Here is a 19,946-nt window from a genome sequence, read left to right on the forward strand (position 1 = left end):
CCATCAGGTGATGGTCAGGCAGTTGTCACATTGCCTCTCTAAAATAATAATAGGTTGCAGCCAGCACCAGGGAAAGGCAGTCTCCCTATAGATAGGACACCCCTGAAACTAGTGATCAGCAGCTTCCTGATAAGATCTCAGGAGCTGGGTCAATGAGCTCAAGCATGCACACTAAGAGGCAAAATGGCAGTTTAACTAGTATATGATCTTCCAGGGGCATTTGACTGGTAAGGGAAGAATGCCTCAGATGAGCATGCATGCAACTCCAGTAAACACACTGCGCATGCTCACCTATCAACTGCTAGCAGGCCACTGCGCATGCGGGTAGCTCACCCTAAGGGAAGAATCAAGAGAAATGGGACACAACACACCAGAAGTATGCCAACATATATAACCTCAAGTCAAAGTCCAAACCTCACACTTGACCTCCAAGATGTCCGCTTGGCCCTCTTCCAAATGCACTTTCTTTTCATTCCTGCTTTAAAGCTTTTTAATAAGCTTTACAGGCCTGCTCTAAAACTTGCCTCAGTCTCTTCTTCTGCCTTATGCCCCTCAGTCAAATTCTTTCTTCTGAGGAGGCAAGAATTGAGGTCGCTGCAGACCTGTACTGATTTGCCACCGGTAACTCGGGTAACTTCCACGGCTAACAAGATCTTCTGATTTTGGTCTGTTATTCATTGTGTGCCACAACTACTTCTAATCTCATATGAGAAGTCTTTTTCAAGAGACAGAGGAAAATGAAATGAATAATATAGAAACAGCAAAATTTAATCTGTGATGTATCAGGTGGCAAGTTTAAGCTAAGCCACATGTAAATGAAAGTTATGGGGGAAGAGAAAAGCCCCTCAGAGAGGAAGTGTTTCCAAAGAGACAAAGGGTGTGGTTCCAGTTCCCTATCTTCCAGCTCCATCCTGTAACCCACCTGAACTGTCAGGTTCCCCTCTATAGTTTTTTGGAAAGCGATTAAAAAAAAAAAGAAAACATAAAAAATGATGAAATGATGTTCTCAAGTGATAAATAGACAAGTCATTTTATTTTATTTTATTTTATTTTATTTTATTTTATTTTATTTTATTTTATTTTATTTTATTTCTTTTGAGAGAGAGTCTTGCTCTGTAACCCAGGCTGGAGTGTGGTGGCGCAGTCTTGGCTCACTGCAACCCCCGCCTCCCGGGCTCAAGTGATTCTTGTGCCTCAGCCTCCCAAGTAGCTGGGATTACCGGGGCTTGCCACCACGCCCAGCTAATTTTTGTATTTTTAGTAGAGATGGGGTTTCACCATGTTGGCCAGGCTCGTCTCAAACTCCTGACCTCAAGAGATCCGCCTGCCTCGGCCTCCCAAAGTGCTGGGATTACAGGCGTGAGCCACTGTGCCCAGCCAGAAAAGGCATTTTAAATTTTGTTCCAGTTCTTAGAAGATGGAAAATAACACTCTTTCCTGCCAATATCTCTGCACACACACAAAAATGAAAAGCTCGAAAATATTTGAAATATTTAAGCTGAATCTAAAGAATAACCATTCAAATTCTGACATAGATACATTTAGTATATTATTATTAATTACTGACATTGTTTGAAAAGTGTCTCTCTGGGCCGGGCACGGTGGCTCATGCCTGTAATCCTAGCACTTTGGGAGGCCGAGGCTGGCAGATCATCTGAGGTCAGGAGTTTGAGATCAGCCTGGCCAACATGGTGAAACCCCATCTCTACTAAAAATACAAAAATTAGCTGGGCCTAGTGGCATGCACCTATAATCCCAGCTACTTGGGAGGCTGAGGCACAAGAATCACTTGAGCCTGGGAGGCGGAGGTTGCAGTGAACCAAGACTGCTCCACTGGGTGACAGAGCGAGACTCTCTCCCAAAAGAAATAAAATAAAATAAAATGACTTTTCTATTTATCACTTGAGAACATCATTTTTTGTGTTTTCATTTTTTTAAAATCTCTTTCCAAAAAACTATAGAGGGAACCTGACAGTTCAGGTGGGTTACAGGATGGAGATGAAAGATAGGGAACGGGAACCACACCTTTTGTCTCTTTGGAAACACTTCCTCTCTGAGGGACTTTTCTCTTCCCGCATAACTTTCATTTACATGTGGCTTAGCTTAAACTTGCCACCTGATACATCACAGATTAAATTTTGCTGTTTCTATATGGAATTGCTTGAACCCGGGAGGTAGAGGTTGCAGTGAGCCGAGGTGGTGCCACTGCACTCCAGCCTAGGCGACAGAAAGAGACTCTGGCTCAAAAAAAAAAAAAAAAAAAAAAAAAAGGAAAAAAGAAAGAAAAGAAAAGAAAAATCAAAAATGTCTCTCTGGCTGAATCCAACCATTTCAAAGAGCCTGAATACTAAGCTCAGGCATCTATTTCCTCTTTTCTGAGGATTCTGCTGCAATTACAGAAAAACCTTAAAAACAATAAAGAAGTAATATTGTCATTAGAAATCAAGAAAACTTTCCTTCAGAATAACAAAAGTTAAAAGAATTCCTAAAGAATGAAATAAAATTAAGACCGAGGGATAAAGAAGAGAGAAAACTCTGGCCCTGGGCACTAGATATAAGCATAGATCTTCTCTAGAGACTCCAAAGTCAGAACCAACTTGTGCAAAGGAATGGGCCAGGGAGTAATGTGAACAGTGTTTCATTAAACAGCCTTGTAACTGCCTCTTTATTTCTCTTGTAAACAAATAGACTGACAACAATGACTTTTACCCTTAGGCTCAAGTCAGTGAGCTGCTCTAGAAAGAGTTTGCAATCAGCCTTCGGTGTGAGAGCACTGGTTTCTGAGAGAGAAACAGCAGAATTTGAGATACACACAGGCTTGCATGATGGATTTGGGGGTAGGAGCAGAACAAAGAAACAACAATGAAATCTCCTCCCCCCATCGTAGATCCTCCTTCTCCTCCTCTGCCACCGCTGCCGCCGCCTCTTCTTCTTCTTTCTCCTTCTCCTTCTCCTTCTCCTTCTTGTTCTTCTTCTTCCTTCTTCCTATTACTCACCTCCTCCTCCTCTTCTTCTTTTTCTTTTCTAAGACAAGGTCTCACTCTGTTGCTCAGGCTGGAGTGCAGTGGTGCCATCATGACTCACTGCAACCTCAAGCCACCCTGCCTGGCTAATTTTTGTAATTTTTTGTAGACATAGGTCTTGCCATGTTGCCCAGACTGGTCTCAAACATTTGAACTCAAGCGATCCTCCCATCTTTGCCTCTAAAAGTGCTGGGATTACAGGTGTCAGCCATTGCATCTGGCCAATACTCTTTTTAATTTTTCAGATACTATTGGGTGAAAGGAGGGTCTCCAGTTCCCTGCATGCTTGTTCTTTATCCCTATATCCTGTTGCAAAACTGTCACCAGGCCCTGCCCAATCACCTACAACCATTCAGGAATGTGGTCTGTTGAGGGGGAAAATCTATATCTGTACCTATATATCTATATTTCTATCTTACCTATTTCTATGGGCAACTTGCATCTATATATAAAGAAAACATATGCAAGACAACTACATTAATTACACTAGCACTTTCTTATGGGAGTTTACTCCATGTGTAGTAGGAACATTGAACAAGAAAAATGTATGGAGAATAATCCTAAAAGCAACTTTATTTTTGTCTTCTTACTGTCTTTTTGTCCCACTGATGAAACAGAAAATACTTTTCATTAATCTTTGATGAAAACTCAGGCAATACCCATGACTTTTTAATTCACTCTTTGTTAATAGCAAGTGTTTTGGCGACTATAAATAGCAAAATACATCTTGATTCATGGCATGAAAGCCTCTAGTTTCTGTATTAATGGACAGTTTAATATTCATTCAAAGATAAGACTTTTTCTGGTTTCCCCAGCTTCTCTGGGTGGGTTGCCTGCTTTTAGATAATGGATATAGTTGAATTCTTTTCTCTTTCTCTCACTTATTTCCCTACTGACAAACTTCTCTTTCTGACCCTTCAAAGCTTGAAGAAGAAAGATAATGGGAAACTATTACTTATTTCACAGGATTGTGGTGAGAATTAAACTGATATACTGTATTTCGTGGAATTTAAGATGCTAATGGTTAAAAACCACACCTTTATAAACCACTAAGAAAGAAAGAAAATACATGTTGCCAATTATACTGTGATACAGTCCTAATGTTTATTATCACTTCTAGTTTTAATTTTTGAATTATGGAAGAAACTCTTTTAAATTTATTTATGTAATTTTTAAACATTCTACTACATACATAAAAATGAAAGCTTCAAGTGAAGTACATTTATTAATGTCGTTCTAAAATGTCTTCATATTCAGTGTAATATAACTGAATTCCTGTGACTCAGTGTCATTGTTGTCTGTATTTTTCTACATACTTTCCTGTTCTGTGTCATGAAGAATATTAATAATGGGACATTTCTTAAAATGTTCTATTACTGTTGATAGGATTTTCTTCCAAGTACCTGATATCTTTCCTGTAAGTTATTTATTGATCTTTTCAAAAGATAGACAACAATCAGGATGCACATTCCTTCCTCAAAAGATCCTTAAATTGTTTATTCATTGAAATGTTTGTGGAGGAAGTTTTCCAGTCATGTCATAGGAGGAGCAACCAAATCATGACATGCACAATGACCACTGTGTCATAACTGATCAATAGTGAATAGTAAAACTCTACTGATTGTAAGATGCATCAGATTTCAGAGCTGTTACAACGTATTACAACATGCCACCTTGAAATTGATGAAATACAACACATACACCTGTGTGTCTGCAGCTTCTGCAGGTCAACTAGGGTGCTACATCCAGAAGTGAACCAAACCACAGCAGTGAGCATTTCTTTGGTTTGTCCTGAAAATGAGCAATAGATCTCCCAGCTTCCCAATTTTAAACAGATTCTTTTAAGGCATTGTTAATCTACATAGGAGACAGAGCATAGGACAAAACAGACAAGTCCCCACTCTCATGGACCTTACATTCTTGAGGGATTTTAGCTTGAGGTCCTTAGTAACAGCTGTTATATGGCTTTCTGTGTGACTCGGACAAGTGATTTTTTTTTTCCTGTGGAATTGACCCCAGATTTGTGTGAGTCCAATTTGTGGAAAGGTGATATAATCCTGTTCTTCAGACAATAGATACTTTGTAAATAAGTTGGTTTTCAAATTGAGGTCACCTCAGGTCGCTTTTGGAAACAGGAGGGTAGAGCGAGCTCAGCACCTAGTAGCTCCCACTAATACCACATTTGGGAGATTTTGCTGCGGCAGCTGAATCAACAGCTGGGATTCTAAAATCCCTAACTTGCACATAGGATTTAGCTTTCTCACCCACAAAATTATGGTCCTATATTTACCATCTGTGTGTCACTTTTTTATTTATGAAATTATATAAAAAAAGAATTTATTGGGACAGTAAAGAAATATTTTTGAAAACAATTTAAAAGCATAAATCAGTGGCTTAGAAATGCAGTTTTTGATAAGACACCATTCATTAGGCATAACAATAGCTCATTAATAAAGGATAGGTATTGGCTAATAACTTTTGATAGGGATTATTAATTGTTAAAAAGACACGAGCTATTAAAAAGGCTATTCTCTTCTAAATTGCTACAGAGTTCATTCAATTTTAACATACAATGGAAAAAATATGAAAGTTACCTTTGTGGCATCTTTGAAAGTTTTTTTGTTTTTTGCCTGGGATTCAAAAGTCATATTTGCTTTTTTGCTAGAAGGTTTGCACTGAAGGAAGGGCTACCAAAATGTAGGTCACTTTGTCAGGTACAGGACAGTTTGAGAAACAGGGGAAGCTGATTCTATCAGGCTAATATACACAGGTGAGATGCAAATCTCCTGCCAACTGTTCCCATTGGTATCATTAGCCCTTCCCTCCATAAATAAATGCCTCGCTGAGAAAGTGCTTCTAGGCATTGTGCTGCCACTTCCGAGTGATATTAGCTTGCAAAAGAGGAAAGCCTAATCAAAGAGAAAGTGTTCCCCAAACAGGCTATCACTATAGACTGAGGCATTTTCTGGTCTGGGGAAAGAAGGGCTTGACTTTTTTGTGCTTCTGTAGAGTTGTATGTCAGTTCTCATACACACTCTTCTCTTGGTAAGTAATCAGAAAGTTATTTTTACATCTCTGCAGTCTAGTTGTCTTGGGTTCATGTTCGTGGTATTTCATAGCTAGCAGGAACCTTAGAGATGAACCTCTTAGAGACAAGAAACATTTTCACCATCACCTTTTTTTCTAGAGTCACATGCTTATTTTTCTTATTGTAAATGACTAAGTACAAATGGGAGTAACAGATTTTTTTTTATGTGAATTTGGCAAGTCATCAACTCAAATATGCTGCTTAGGATGGGAAAGAGAGAAATCATGTAGGATCCTGTTCTAAATGTTAAGTTAATTTTTTCTCCATATTTTGGATATGACAACGCAAAGGCACATTTTCTTTATTTCAAAACAGCTTTAGGTTATTAATATGATGTTATCTAAAATTTGATAATCAGAGATGATTTTGTTTGTTTTTCATAAAAGATTTCTAGTGTCAGTAATCCTATAAATATATGGTCCTAATTTAAAATAATTATTCTGAAGTAAAAATAAGCAATTCTGTCACTGTGGGGCTTTAAAGGAAAGGGCAGTGTTCCAAACCAATTATAAACAAATTGACCCTCTTAAGATTTTCCTTCTTACTCAACCAATGAGTAAAAACTGATTCTTTGCCAATAAGCCTCATGATTTTTTGTGGCTAGGAAAAGCATGCTTCTTAATGAACCATTATCCCTCAGCCTTCATGATCCAGATGAGTAAATGCAACCCTATGCCTCATGAAGAATGATTGATTTAGTTACATGGGCATAATTGTTTCATTAAGAAGAATCAGTTCATTAAAGCTTAGGGAAATGAGTAAGTTATAGGTGAGACTGGCTAGACTTACCTTGACATAAAGACAATCAAGTCAGGAGAAATCAACTGGCATTTATTTAATACTCTATGATGTGTGAAAACTATTCCAAGAAATTTAGTTGCTTTCTTTTCTTTTTGTCTCTCAAAAGAGAGAAATCTAGTCATTTTAGTTAAAAATGTACATTTTACTTATAAAGGTAAAATGTGATTTCAAGGTATATGAAGCTTCTTCAGAGACAGAACTTCATTCTAATATATATTTGATAAATACTGCCAACATAGACTGTTTTTGTAGATAAGGCTGATTTGTTCAAGTTTTCTGAAGCACAGAGGAGCATTATCTCTCTATATATATCATATTATCCTGTGGGCAATAGGATACACCACTGGTAGAACCATAGGGTTATAGGAATATAAAAATAATAATAATATATTAAATTTGTTTGACTTTTTTTGCAGTTTTTGTAAGGATTTTATTTCTCAGAGACCCTGAGAATGAGCCACTTCTATTTAATCCCTATTACTCATATGAAAACTGACTCTCAAAGTAATCTTAATGGTAGTTACCAGACCTAGCATTGATGCTAGGCCTTTTGGATCTTGAAAATAATCTAGGTAATTCCACTTATTTTACATACATTTTATTATAAAAAGCTTAAACCATGTAGATGCAAAAATTAAAATAGAAAGTATCCCTTCTTTGCTACTAACTATAACCTTTTTCAATTTTCTATGAATGTTTTCAGACATAGTGCTATGAGTTTACACAAAATTGAATACATACATACACATATGCTTTCACACACATTATGTATGATTCATTTGTTTTTATAAATATAATAAAATAAATGATAATTTTAAGTTTTTTTCTACAAGTTGATTTTTTTAACTTAATATATGCAGAGAAACCCATATTTAGAATAGCTATACTATTTTTTAAATTACTACATAGTATTGCTTAATATAGAAAAAACATAATTTGTGTACCATTTACATATTTTGTTGGGGATTTATATAGTTTCTAATCTAATTTCTTTAAAAACAAGTGTATAGCTTGTACACATGTCTTTGTAAACATATAGGAATAGTTTTAAGGAATAAATTCCTTGAAGTGATAGGCAATGAAAAATTACCTTTCATTAAGTTTCCACAAATTTTTACTCAACGAATTCACCAACTTACTTTACCAAAAATATATTTACAAATTTTTAAATTTATCTGTGCAATGAAAAATAGATACCAATTTCTTAACAGAATATTATGTTTGAACAGATTTTCATATATGATTAGTGGCCACTTTTATTCTTTTCTCTGTGAGAAACCTCTAAATAAACTTCGACTGTATTTTCTATTGGATCATCTATATTTTCCTTTTGATTTTTAGGAGTAATTTATATATTGAGAATATTAAGCTAGCTTTTTCTAAATTAAAATATTTTCTTTATTTTGACTTTTAAGCTTTTGTTGATAGCTTTTGTATTTTAGAAGTTTTGCATTTTTATGTAACTCTATAGGTCAATCTTTTCCTTTATGACTTCTGTGTTTTGTGTCATACTTAGAAATAATTTGTTACCTCCAAACTAATAAAAGCATATCATTAATATCTTTCATATATTAAACTATTTAAGCTACTAGAATGTTAGGTAGGCATGAAGTATGGATTTCACTTTTTTTCCAAATAATTCTAAACAATTACCTTTAAACTATTTGTTAAATAAACTGTATACTTCTTACTAAATTCAAAGGCCAACTTAATAATGTATGAAATTGTTATTTATATATAATATCAGTCTGTTTCTGCAATCTCCCTTCTGTTCATCGCTTCACTTGCCTATATCTGTTCTCAGTACCTCACCGGTTTACTCTGCCTTTCTAAAAGCTTTTACTGGAATATTCTACTACAGTTAAAAAAAAAAGCTGTCTATTTTTGTCATTTTTTTCTCTTCTGTAAAGGTACTTCATTCATTAAAATCAGTTTTTCTGATACCATTAAAATGTTGGCTTTTTTTTTTAAAGGGAAGTCATTTTATTTGTAAATAAATTGGAAAGAATTGATATCTTCATGCTGTTGCCTCTTCTCATCTTGGAACACTTTATACATTTCCATTCATTTAAGAGAGAGAGAGTGTGTGTTTTTTAGTAGATATCATAGTCCTTTTTCATTATTTCTCATTAAAGTCATATATTAGTTAGTTTTATTCCTAGAAATTTCATATTTTTCAACAGTATGTTTTCTTTTATACCTTGTTATCTTGTTTATAAGAAAACTATTAATTTTCACCATTGATTAGTACATGGCAACCTTAATAATTAGTAAATCTAATAGCGTTTGAATTATATTTTAATTTTCTATTATATTATCTGCAAGAATGATAATTTTCATTTTCTTTTAAGTATTCATATTTATTGGTTTTATTAGCTTTATTATATTGACTATAATTGTATTACTGTCTTCTCAAATTTAGTGGAAACACTTCTTACATGTTCTCTCTATTTTTTAATAAAAATATTTATTTGGTCTTATGAATACAGAATTGATTATTTTATTTTTATTTCAAATGCCTAGGTATTATAATTGTATATAATAGTTATTTGTACTTTTTATATTTTTATTATATTTTTAGTTATGCTTGTATAGGAGGCTAACAAGTGTATTTTTCTCTTGATGAAAATTGAAAATACTTATTTTTTATATTGTTATTTTTTAAAAAACATTTTTGGTTTTAGTAATAAGTCTTCCATTTATTTTTCTTCTTTCTTTAGTTTTCTTGCTTATAAAAATTTTCTAATTCATGAATTTATGTTTCCAGATTTAGTAATTTCCTTTTGACTCTTTGAGTTCCTTTTCTGACATATATAAAAAACTTAGTTTTTGGGGGTTGTTTTGGCTGTGTATAAAATTCAAAACTCAAAATAAAATAATGTTCCTTTTGTGGAATAATGTCCTAGGATTTTATGATATTGATGAAAAGATATTCATATGATTCTCATTTTTTGTAATTATACTGTGTTACAGGAAAAGGATAGCAAACCTAATTTAAAAAGGGCAAGTTATGAAATAAGAACAATTCAAATGACTAACAGTTACATGAAGAGATGCTCAAACTCATTTGTAATCATAAAAATGAAAAAAATTAAAATGCAATCCTACATTATACTCATCAAGTTGAGAAAAAAAGGTTATAGTTTTATAATTCTAAGTATTGAAAGATATTTAGGTAGAAAGGAATCTTGTGCCTTGATGTTGAAAGTATTGACTGGTTCAGCTGCACTGGAAACACACTTGATGATATTAAATATGCCTATCCTACAACTCAGTAGTCCAGCTCCTAAGCGTATGTTCCAGAAAAGCTCTCTCACAAGATGTGTGGAGATATGGATGATAATTTGTAGTAGCAACGAGTTAGAGGCAATCTGTCTATCACTGGGAGAATGAAGAAGTTCAATGTAATGGTTATGCTCTAGCATGCAGCAGCTGGAAACAGTGAGTAGATGCACACACAGACCATGATCACTCCTAGAAACATAGTGGTGAGTGAAAAAAGAAAGAAACATAATGTTTTTAGCACAATGCCATTTATATATTTGAAGTAGAGGAATGTAGAAAATGAAATATCATATAATCCCAGTAACATGAAAGAGCAAAGGGACAAGAATAACCAATATGATTCTGAAAAATGAAATTAGGAATAGGAGAGTACTCCTACTAGATATCAGGACTTATTATAAAGCTACAATCTTTAAAACAGGTACTCTTATAAGGAATAGAGGAGAAGAGAAAAGAAGAGAAGACAAGAGAAGAGAAAGAGAAGATTGCAAGAAGGGAAGACAAGAGAAGAGAAAGAGAAAGAGAAGAAGACAAGAGAAGAGAAAGAGAAAGAGAAGATGCGAAATAGACGCATGCATTTATTGAATTTTAATTTATGACAGAAGTAGCATAGTCAATAACTGAGGAGTGGAAGGACAATATAATCAGATAAATTGAAAAATGCTTATTGACATGGAAATATCAAAGGAAAAATATACCATGTGCCCACTGATAAAAAATAAATGGAATATTCATGAAAGGTCCCAATTACTGTTACAATAATTTTTTAAATAATTAGGCATTTGGATTTTATGTGCTTTTTGATTTGAGTAGTTTAAAGTGTTTTAAATAACATTAAATATTATTATAATTATAATAATTATTATTTTTGAGACCGAGTCATCTTGCTCTATTGCCCAGGCTCTAGTTCAGTGGTGCGATCTCAACTCACTGCAACCTCCGCCTCCTAGGTTCAAGTGAATCTCATGCCTCAGCCTCCTGAGTAACTGGGACTACAGGCATGTTCCACTACACCTGGATAATTTTTGTGTTTTTGTAGTAGAGACTGGGTTTCTCCATGTTGGCCAGGCTGGTCTTGAACTCCTGACCTCAAGTGATATGCTTGCATTGACCTCCCAAAGTGCTGAGATTCCAGGTGTGAGCCACTGCACCCGGTCCATTAAATATTATTTTAATTATATTAGGTCAAATATTTTTGTTTCTTTCCTGAATTTTAACACTATTTAGAATGAGTACATAGTTGTTAGCTAATAAAATCTGTAGTTCAAAAATTATTTTGTGACTTACTGAGCATTTCACTTGATCAATTTTTATAAATGTTTCATGATCTCTTAAAAAGAAATGTAAGTAGCATGTTATAGTAGTATCTTCCGTCATCATAATAGTATGTTCTATATGTATCATGTGTCATACTTCTGTCATTTTTGTTTTATTAGTGCTTTGCTTATTTCACAGATTCTGCTTTTGTTTATTTGTTTCTTAATAAACTTTCTAAATCTGCTAGTTTGGGAGGTTTCGACTTTCATATTGGTGCACATTTAACTTTATATAATATGCTTGATCATCTATTTACTGATGCATAGACTTCAGAGAGTGTCTTCTCTTAACTATCCACTTTGATCGATGAAAAAATAACGACCACTCCTGATTTTAGTAGTTTTGTTGGTTTTCATATATATGAAATGCTACTGTATGAATAAAAATCAAATGTAGATCTATTTTTCTATTGTTTCTTCCCCAGTGATACTTTTCAGATAAGAATATGGGCAAATAATGATTGCAGATTCCATCTTTGGTTTTATTCTTTTTGCTAAACATTTTATTCTGAGGTATAGCTGGTCAATTCGATAGCTCATGATCTTAAAAATGTCTTTGTATTCTATTTCTTTTTTTTTTTAAATTCAATTATTTAGCCTCATTGACTACATCATTCCTCCAGGCAGAAGGTGCAAAAGACAGCAAAACTTGAGGACTTTCACCAAGGATGTGCTAGGAGGGGACGTGGGAAATGGATTATTCCTTGAACATTTTCCCTGGGCCATTCTCTTCCTTTTTTATTTTTGTTCTGGTTACATGGGGCTTTCAAGACTCAAGCAATTGTTTGTTTTTTTTTTTTTACTTTAATTTTTTTAGTATTTCAAATGTTTTTATTATGAAAAATTTAAATATGTATAAAATATGAGAAATTATATAATTCATCCCCAGATATACGTCACCCAGCTTCTATAATTATTAATTCTGTCCAATTATTTTATCTATACTACCATGCTGTTTCTCTTCCTTTCTCCTGGATTAGTTTGGAGAAAACACCAGACATTATATCACTTATAAGTATTTTGAATATATCTCTAAAAGATAACTCATTTAAAAATATAATCCCTATTATGACACACAGAGTACTAACACAAATTCCGTAATGTTTTTGAATATACAAAAATTGTTTAAATTCCCACAATTCTCAGTCTTTTTAAGAAATTAATTATTCAAATCAGGTGCCAGACAAATTCTATGTATAGCAATTAGTGAACACATTTCTTAAATTTCTATTAATCTTTAGCTTCTATCTCCAACTCACTGTTTTTTTTTTGTAATCATTTGTTGAAGAAAGTTTAAAGACTGTGTTACAGTTTCCCCTAGTCTATATTTTGCTGATTGCATTTTTTTGTTTGTTTGTTTTGTTTTTGTTTTTGTTTTTTGAGACAGACTCTCGCTCTGTTGCCCAGGCTGGAGTGCAGTGGCATAATCTCGGCTCACTACAACCTCCGTCTCCCAGGTTCAAGTGATTCTCCTGCCTCAGCCTCCCGAGTAGCTGAGATTACAGGCATGCAGCACCACGCTTGGCTAATTTTTGTATTCTCAGCAGAGATGGGGTTTCACCATGTTGGCCAGGCTGGTCTCCATCTCCTGACTTCAAGTGATACACCTGCCTTGGCCTCCCAAAGTTCTGTGATTATAGGTGTGAGCCACTGTGCCCTGATCACATTCTTGTGGTATTTCTGAATGGGTCCACTGCTCCTTTTCTTATAAATTGATCAGACTGAGGCTTGAATTTTTTTTGGCAAAAAGATTTGACAGGTACTATTATATTTCCAGTAAAAAGCCCTTAATATCTGACTGTTTCTCTTTTTGTGAATTTAGTAGCCATTGATGATTACTGCTGGATCCATTATTTCATAAAGGGTTATAAAAGGATGATATTGTAATTAAATAACTTTAATTATTATCTGAACTACCTTGATGAATAAAAAATTATCTTCCATCAAATATTTGTTTCTCTGAGTTCAGAGCATGTAGGATAGAACTACAATATAGATGTGTTGGTAATTTTCTTATTTACCAGTATTCAAAATAACGAGTTGGCTCCCAGTATCTTTGCAGGTTGATCAATTTTGTTTTGTAAAAATATATATTATTAAGCGCTTATGGATTTTGAACACCTAATTTGTCTTAACTAAGTAAAATTGTAATTCTTATTGGTGTTCAAACTTTCCCAGCTTTGGATAGTGTGAGTTTCTCTCAGCTGGCTCCTGAGTCCTTTTTATGATGATCACAACAGTCTTTGTATTCTTACTGTCTGGTTTGACAATATGTTCTAGATGCAACATGTATATTTGCTGTCCCATCTTGAAATCTAAAATTTTTTTAAGAACCCTAGCTCCTTTATGAGAAATGCCATTTGGAGACAAAAATCTGGGTGAAAGAATACTTGTTTCTGCTGCCCAAGAACAATAGTACTGCCCAGTTCACTTTTTTTAGTGAACAGAAGTATCACATATTTAAAAAATATATACAATATATCATATGTTCATGTTTATACTCCAAGTCAAATTTAGCAAATTCAGGAATTCAGGATTTTTTTCTTAACCAAATTCCTCTCACATATGTGTCGCCTTTCTCTCATGATCAAAATTCCAATTCTTAATGATATCATTATTATTTATTTGCTTTGTCCTGTGTAGCACATTCAGGAAAACCGTAGTAGCACTCAAAAGTCTGATTACTGAAAACAGTTTGAGGATTTTTTCTTTTCTCATTTTTTTCTTAGTGTATACCACATTGGGAATAAACAACCAATTTACTCTGTTTTAACACTCACTTGAAAGAAATATTTCCTCCCAATGTAGTTATTTTTATTAATTCTATACAAGCTGTGCCAATTTTTTATTAACTTGTTAGAATTTTAAAATTTAAAAACAACTTCTGTTTAGTAGTTTTGGAAAATATTTATATAATTCTTTTGACTCTATTTCCTTAGATCTGAAAACTGGTTTTGTTTGTTTGTTTTAGGTTCATTTCTCCATTTTTGAATAATGTAAGCAAATACATTATTTCCCCTTTCCAAAATTAATGGCAGTATTCTATGCATAATTTTCTTCACGTTGGACCAAATTGTTTTTTAAAGATCTTATGAAATTACAGTATCTTCCCTTCACTCCATGCTATTAAACGACATAAACATTTACTGAATACCTTCTAAGTGCAAGGCACAGTACTTTGTTTTGTGGTGGAGGAGACAATGAAGTAGATTTTGCCTTTAAGACACTTTTACAAACTTTTTTCTATGGTTTTTGATATTGCAGAGATCTAAAAATATCACTTTGGATGTTCAGATAATATACTGATTGTTGAATAGTTATTGGGTTAAAAAAAGTCAAAGGATAGTATTCTGTGTAAAATACTAACAATAAGGAAAAAACAAAACAGGCATAATGTAATTATTCCAGAAATTGTAGATCTTTTATGACATTATGATCAATAAACTATAAAACATAGACGACTGCATCTATAAAGCACCTTGAAAGATGAATAGCCTCTGTGTGTGTGTGTGAGTGTGTGTGTGTGTGTGTGTGTGTGAGAGAGAGAGAGAGAGAGCAGGCAGGCAGAGAGAGAGAGACAGAAAGACAACATAGATTAAAGAATGTGTGCTAAACATTTGCTTAGCAAGTAAGCTCATTTTTCCCATTATTTTGATATACAGCAAAGTAAAATTTCTTATTAATATATAATTGAGTTAGGTACCCTTATTTAGACATTTGGATTTATGAAAAATTCCCATAATGATTTCAATGTGTGGGTTTATGATTATAAATAGGAGTCCACTTAATTTGACTGTTAATATGCTAAGGTTTATAATTTACATGACTTCTCTTTCTAACATGATCTGTGAAGTAGTTTACGTTTCAAACTTTACTTGGATTCAACTGAATTTATTTTAATGATTATCAATATGGTCTTAGTTCACATTCCCAAATGTAAAGGTATCTTTGACAAAGATAAGGATGTTTGAAAATACATTTTTTTGAACATTAAAATTTAACAATGAGTTGAATGTGATTTGATAATATTCACTTTTAACTGTGAATAAAATAAGCTTATCATTATATATTAGCACTACTATATTGATCTTTCAGATTTAATTTAACAAAATTCTAATTTTTGAGCAAAAATTTTCTATTTTATCTATTTTGGTAATCATCAATGATCCTTGCCTCCTTGTATTTAACCACTTGTGTTCTTTCCTCCCACATTGGATCCAACTGGATTCAGCAAATTTTTTTCTGTACCTTCCACGAATGTTACCACTTTTTATAGTATTTGCATAAGTTGATAACTGTCAAATCTATGATGTGTTTTTAAAAAAAGACATTATCTAGTAGGGTTCTAGGCAAACTGCTCATCTCAAGAATTCAGTTAGTGGATGATGGATGATACTTTCCAAATGGTTAGTCATGGCTGGAAATGTATCAAAGCTTGGAGGAAATACAATGACAGGTGAGCAGTGTGGCGGTGTGGTAGCACTGGGACAAAGTGGAAGGAAAGAGAGATTGTTAATACCTTTGGAAATAAAACATAGGAGCATAAGAGTTTAAAAAGAGTTTTTAAAGATGTCTACCAGTTTGGTGGCACAGCTGTGTGCCACACTTTCAAGAAAGCCTACGGTCAAACTCTTCTGATTGGTTAATGTGTGAGAAGATGAACTCATATTCTTTGTGGTAAATCCTGGGTTTTATAGCCTGAGCATGCCAACCTACTTTTACACTGATTGTATCTTTTGTTTCATCTCTTTTCTTCCTTGAACTCATTGTCCTCTCTCCATCCACAGCCCAAATCTGCTCTTCTGACTCTGCATCAGTGCATGTCAATACCATCCAAGTTATGACTCAAGATGGAAACAAGAAAGTCATCCTTCACATTTGCCTGCCCCTTAATTTTCACTGAGTCTCTTAAAGATTATTCCTGAAATATCTCTCAAATTTGTCTTTTCTGATTACAACCTTACTGACGCTGCAGTAAGTTAGAAACTCAACATCTGTAGTCTAAACCGTTAAAATAGCTGCTTGACTTTTCCGGTCTCTGTGTAGCTCTATTCTCTCCATTTTCATTAAGTTTCTTTGCAAAACACAGACATGATACTGCCAAAGTTTCGAACAAATACCTTTAGTGGCACTGAGTTATCTACTGTTAAATCGCCAGACACCTCAAGAGAGCATTCAAGGTTCATGATCTTGAACCAATTTACTTTTGGGCATTCTCCAAAAGAATTCCCTTGGTAGTAAATAGTATCCATTGCTGAGGCTCTTGGCAACATTTGGTGGGACAAAGGATGGGCAATGGGCAACAGGAAGGGCATTCTAAACCTTCTCTCCCGACCCCCCCTCCACTTTTTTAGGGATGGTAGATTTAGAGTTGGGATAGAGAAAGAAAAGAGAGAAAACTAGCCATTGAAATTTGATCTCTCTCTGTGCCTTGTAAAGGAAGCCTGGTCCCCAGGCAAAAAGGGGTTTATTTCAAGAAGGAGCAGTTACCATCTTAGTTTCAAATTAAACTATAAACTAAATTTCTCCTAAAGTGAGTTCAGCCTGTGCCCAGGAATAAACAAGGATAGTCTGGAGGTTAGAGGCAAGATGGGGTGGGTTAGATCAGATCTCTTTCACTCCCATAATTTTGTCACTGTTATAGTTTTTGCAAAGGTGTTTTCACAAAGCCTGCGAGGTGGTTGAGAAACAGAAAGAAGGCCAATGGGCATCTGAACTGCATAGAATAGTCAGTTTTATTGCTTAAAATGTATTTGCAAGAGTAAGTCTGACTATAGTAATATAAATGACTTTGCTTTTTTAGTTTTTCAATACTTAATAATAAAATATATCTTAATTTTATATTCATCTTTTTCTTTGTTAGAATTATTATAATGAATTAGAAAAATTATGAATGATCTTTAGATACTCATTGCAAGAACAAGTCATATGTCCTAAATGTAGAATGAGATATTGTTTTCATAAGAAATATCTTTCATCACAGACATAAATATCCAGAAATTTTATATGAATGTTACACAAAGTTCTGTCAGCAACATAGGGCAAGAAATTCCAGTTAACGCCATTCAAATAGTTTCATCTGAAAATAAAAGGACATGCTGTCTACTCTTCCTGTCAGTTTTCTTGGACGGTTTGAACTTGCTCACCTAATGTGGTTATGTTAGGTAGAATTTATCTTTTTTGTTCAAATCATAGATCTTTTTTTCCTTTACCTAGAGGAATTGGCAAGTATACAGCTTTTGACTTACTGTAAAACTTTCAAAGTCATCACTTTAAACAGATCTTTACTTTAAGATCTTAAGAAGACTATCAGTAACTAATGGAGTACCATGGTGATTTAATCAACTGGTGACTTGCAGGAAGTTATTGTAAGTCAATATATAAAGTTCATCAGTGCAGTGTCTAAAGCAGCAGAAATTGACTTGCAGGCATAGGTGTACTTCAGTATTGTAGGTATTAGCTTCATTTCTCAATAAGGAGAAATGAAAGCCGAGAAAGATTATTAATTGGGTTTGCCAAAGTTACAAAACACTGAAGTGATAGGTCCAGAAAAAGAGCCTATGTTGTCTGACACCCAAATTCCATCTCAAAGTCCTACATAATATTGCCCCCAGCTAAACGCTATGAGTTTGGTGGATAGCAGGCTCAACGCAATGCTTTTTATTGTGACTTTTCGATAATTAATGACTAGGGATGCCTTCTCTGTTCTTTCTAAGATGTTAAACTGTTTCTCAGTGAGTTCTCAGCCATGAATCTCTGCTCTGTACTTGACTATATTTCTTGCCCCATTGACTTCACAGCGAGATGGAATATGGGAAAGATGTAAAGCCTCTGCCCTTTTTTCCATTAGTGACAATATTTTTCCAGTTCAGTTACAGGTTTAAGCACAGGCTCTTTGTTAGCCAATTCATCTAACACCTCACTCACACTGAGTCCCAAACACACAAATGCCTCCTAAATCTTTATGTTCTTATTCTATTAATTTCAGAGAAAAAAATGATATTTCACCCTATTTTACTTTATATCTTTTTATCATGAAATATATATGAGTTCTGCAATAACTTACTGATAAGATGGATTACCAAGAATTATTGATTAAATTCTACTCATTTGTGAGCAACTACTTTTTAATCCCATTTCTCATGGACTGGGATTTATTTCCCAAATCAGATTTGCCTTTGTGATAGGTAGCAATATTTTGAGAAATGTAAATAATGACATTGATGTCTTCCAGTCAATAAATAGAATAATATATTTAATTAATTTTCTTACCTCATCCTAAAGGCAATTGAAAATTGAAGACTTTTCCTCTCCAAACTGTGCAAAGTGTTTCTTAATAGAAAAAAAAAAAAGACTGTGGCAAGGTGCAAAGGAAAGAAAATGCAATAAAAGGACTTGTTACTCTGGAAGCAAACGTACCTGGGTAATTAGTTGCCAGTCCACTTAGATCGTAACACAGATAACTGAGCAAGATATTAGTAACGCTGAATTTGAGGAGAATATACCCCAAACTGTATTTCTAGTATGTGATCTTTAAAAGATTTGTGTGGTTTATTTATCACACTGATTTTTTCATTTAAATGCATGCATTAGTAACATCTAATCTAAAGGTTTTTTTCCCTCCTATGATTGATGGACATTTTTTTAAGAATGCAGTTTGTCAAGAAGACTTTCCCTTTTCCTTCTTGAAATTCCTGTTTCAAACCAGTGGAAGCAATGTCCTGCCTGTGATGGCATTCAGGACATGAGGTATCCTTGTCTTTGACAGCAAAGGACATTTGTTTTGTTTGAGTTGCACTCTTATCACTGACAACAACAAAATTGTCAAGTGTGTTATTTGAAACATCAAATTCAATAAGAACCTTTGTGTATGTAAGCTACATTGTATATAATGTTTTCTTTCCTAACCAATGGAACAAACAGCTAGAATTTGTGATATTCATATATTGAATGATGAAATATGATACGAATGTAATTGCACAGTATAATTATAAGGAACCAGGAGTATATTTTTGTGTTAATGATGGAGTATAATATAAGCTGTTTGTGAAATTATACATTAGAAATCAAAGGGGGTAGTATAACAAATAGTTAAAACATAAATAAATTTTATTTCTCAACACAAGTTAAATGTTTTAGTTGTCACTGAAAAATGCAATTAAAATTAGATTTATATATCTCTGTTTAGAAAAAGTCACTATCAATTGGAAAGAATATTCAATTATTTAATCATTCATTCATTTCTTATGTGTGTTGAATCCATTTTCTTCTGACCCAAATCTGATAAACATTTTTGAATGAATTCAATATTTGTAAGTGAAAGGAAATGTACCTAACCACCTTGTGACTTGCTGAGGCAAATTAGATGAAAAGAAATTTAAGGAGTAAATGTAAGAGTCATAACTTTTAAAGCTATACAATTTATACTACTGC

The 19,946-nt window shown here is 33.8% G+C and overlaps 1 long non-coding RNA gene across 1 annotated transcript in view, besides 1 other annotated feature; it reads left to right on the forward strand.

Moving 5' to 3' along the window:
* Positions 1 to 17,354, forward strand: part of LOC101927145 (uncharacterized) — an 87,617-nt gene extending 70,263 nt beyond the window's left edge. The window contains exon 3 of the long non-coding RNA XR_938809.3: positions 16,301 to 17,354. This is a non-coding gene — a long non-coding RNA (uncharacterized LOC101927145). The remainder of the gene's footprint in view (positions 1 to 16,300) is intronic.
* Positions 1,279 to 1,779: an enhancer, noted in NCBI's record as "H3K4me1 hESC enhancer chr4:63071027-63071527 (GRCh37/hg19 assembly coordinates)". NCBI's record gives its function as "activates a minimal SCP1, AML or CMV promoter by ChIP-STARR-seq in naive H9 embryonic stem cells {active_cell/tissue: H9 hESC(naive)}" and the evidence as "EXISTENCE:reporter gene assay evidence [ECO:0000049][PMID:30033119]".
* Positions 17,355 to 19,946: the final 2,592 nt, after the last annotated feature.

This window comes from Homo sapiens, chromosome 4 (genome assembly GCF_000001405.40).
Source record: "Homo sapiens chromosome 4, GRCh38.p14 Primary Assembly".
NCBI lineage: Eukaryota > Metazoa > Chordata > Mammalia > Primates > Hominidae > Homo > Homo sapiens.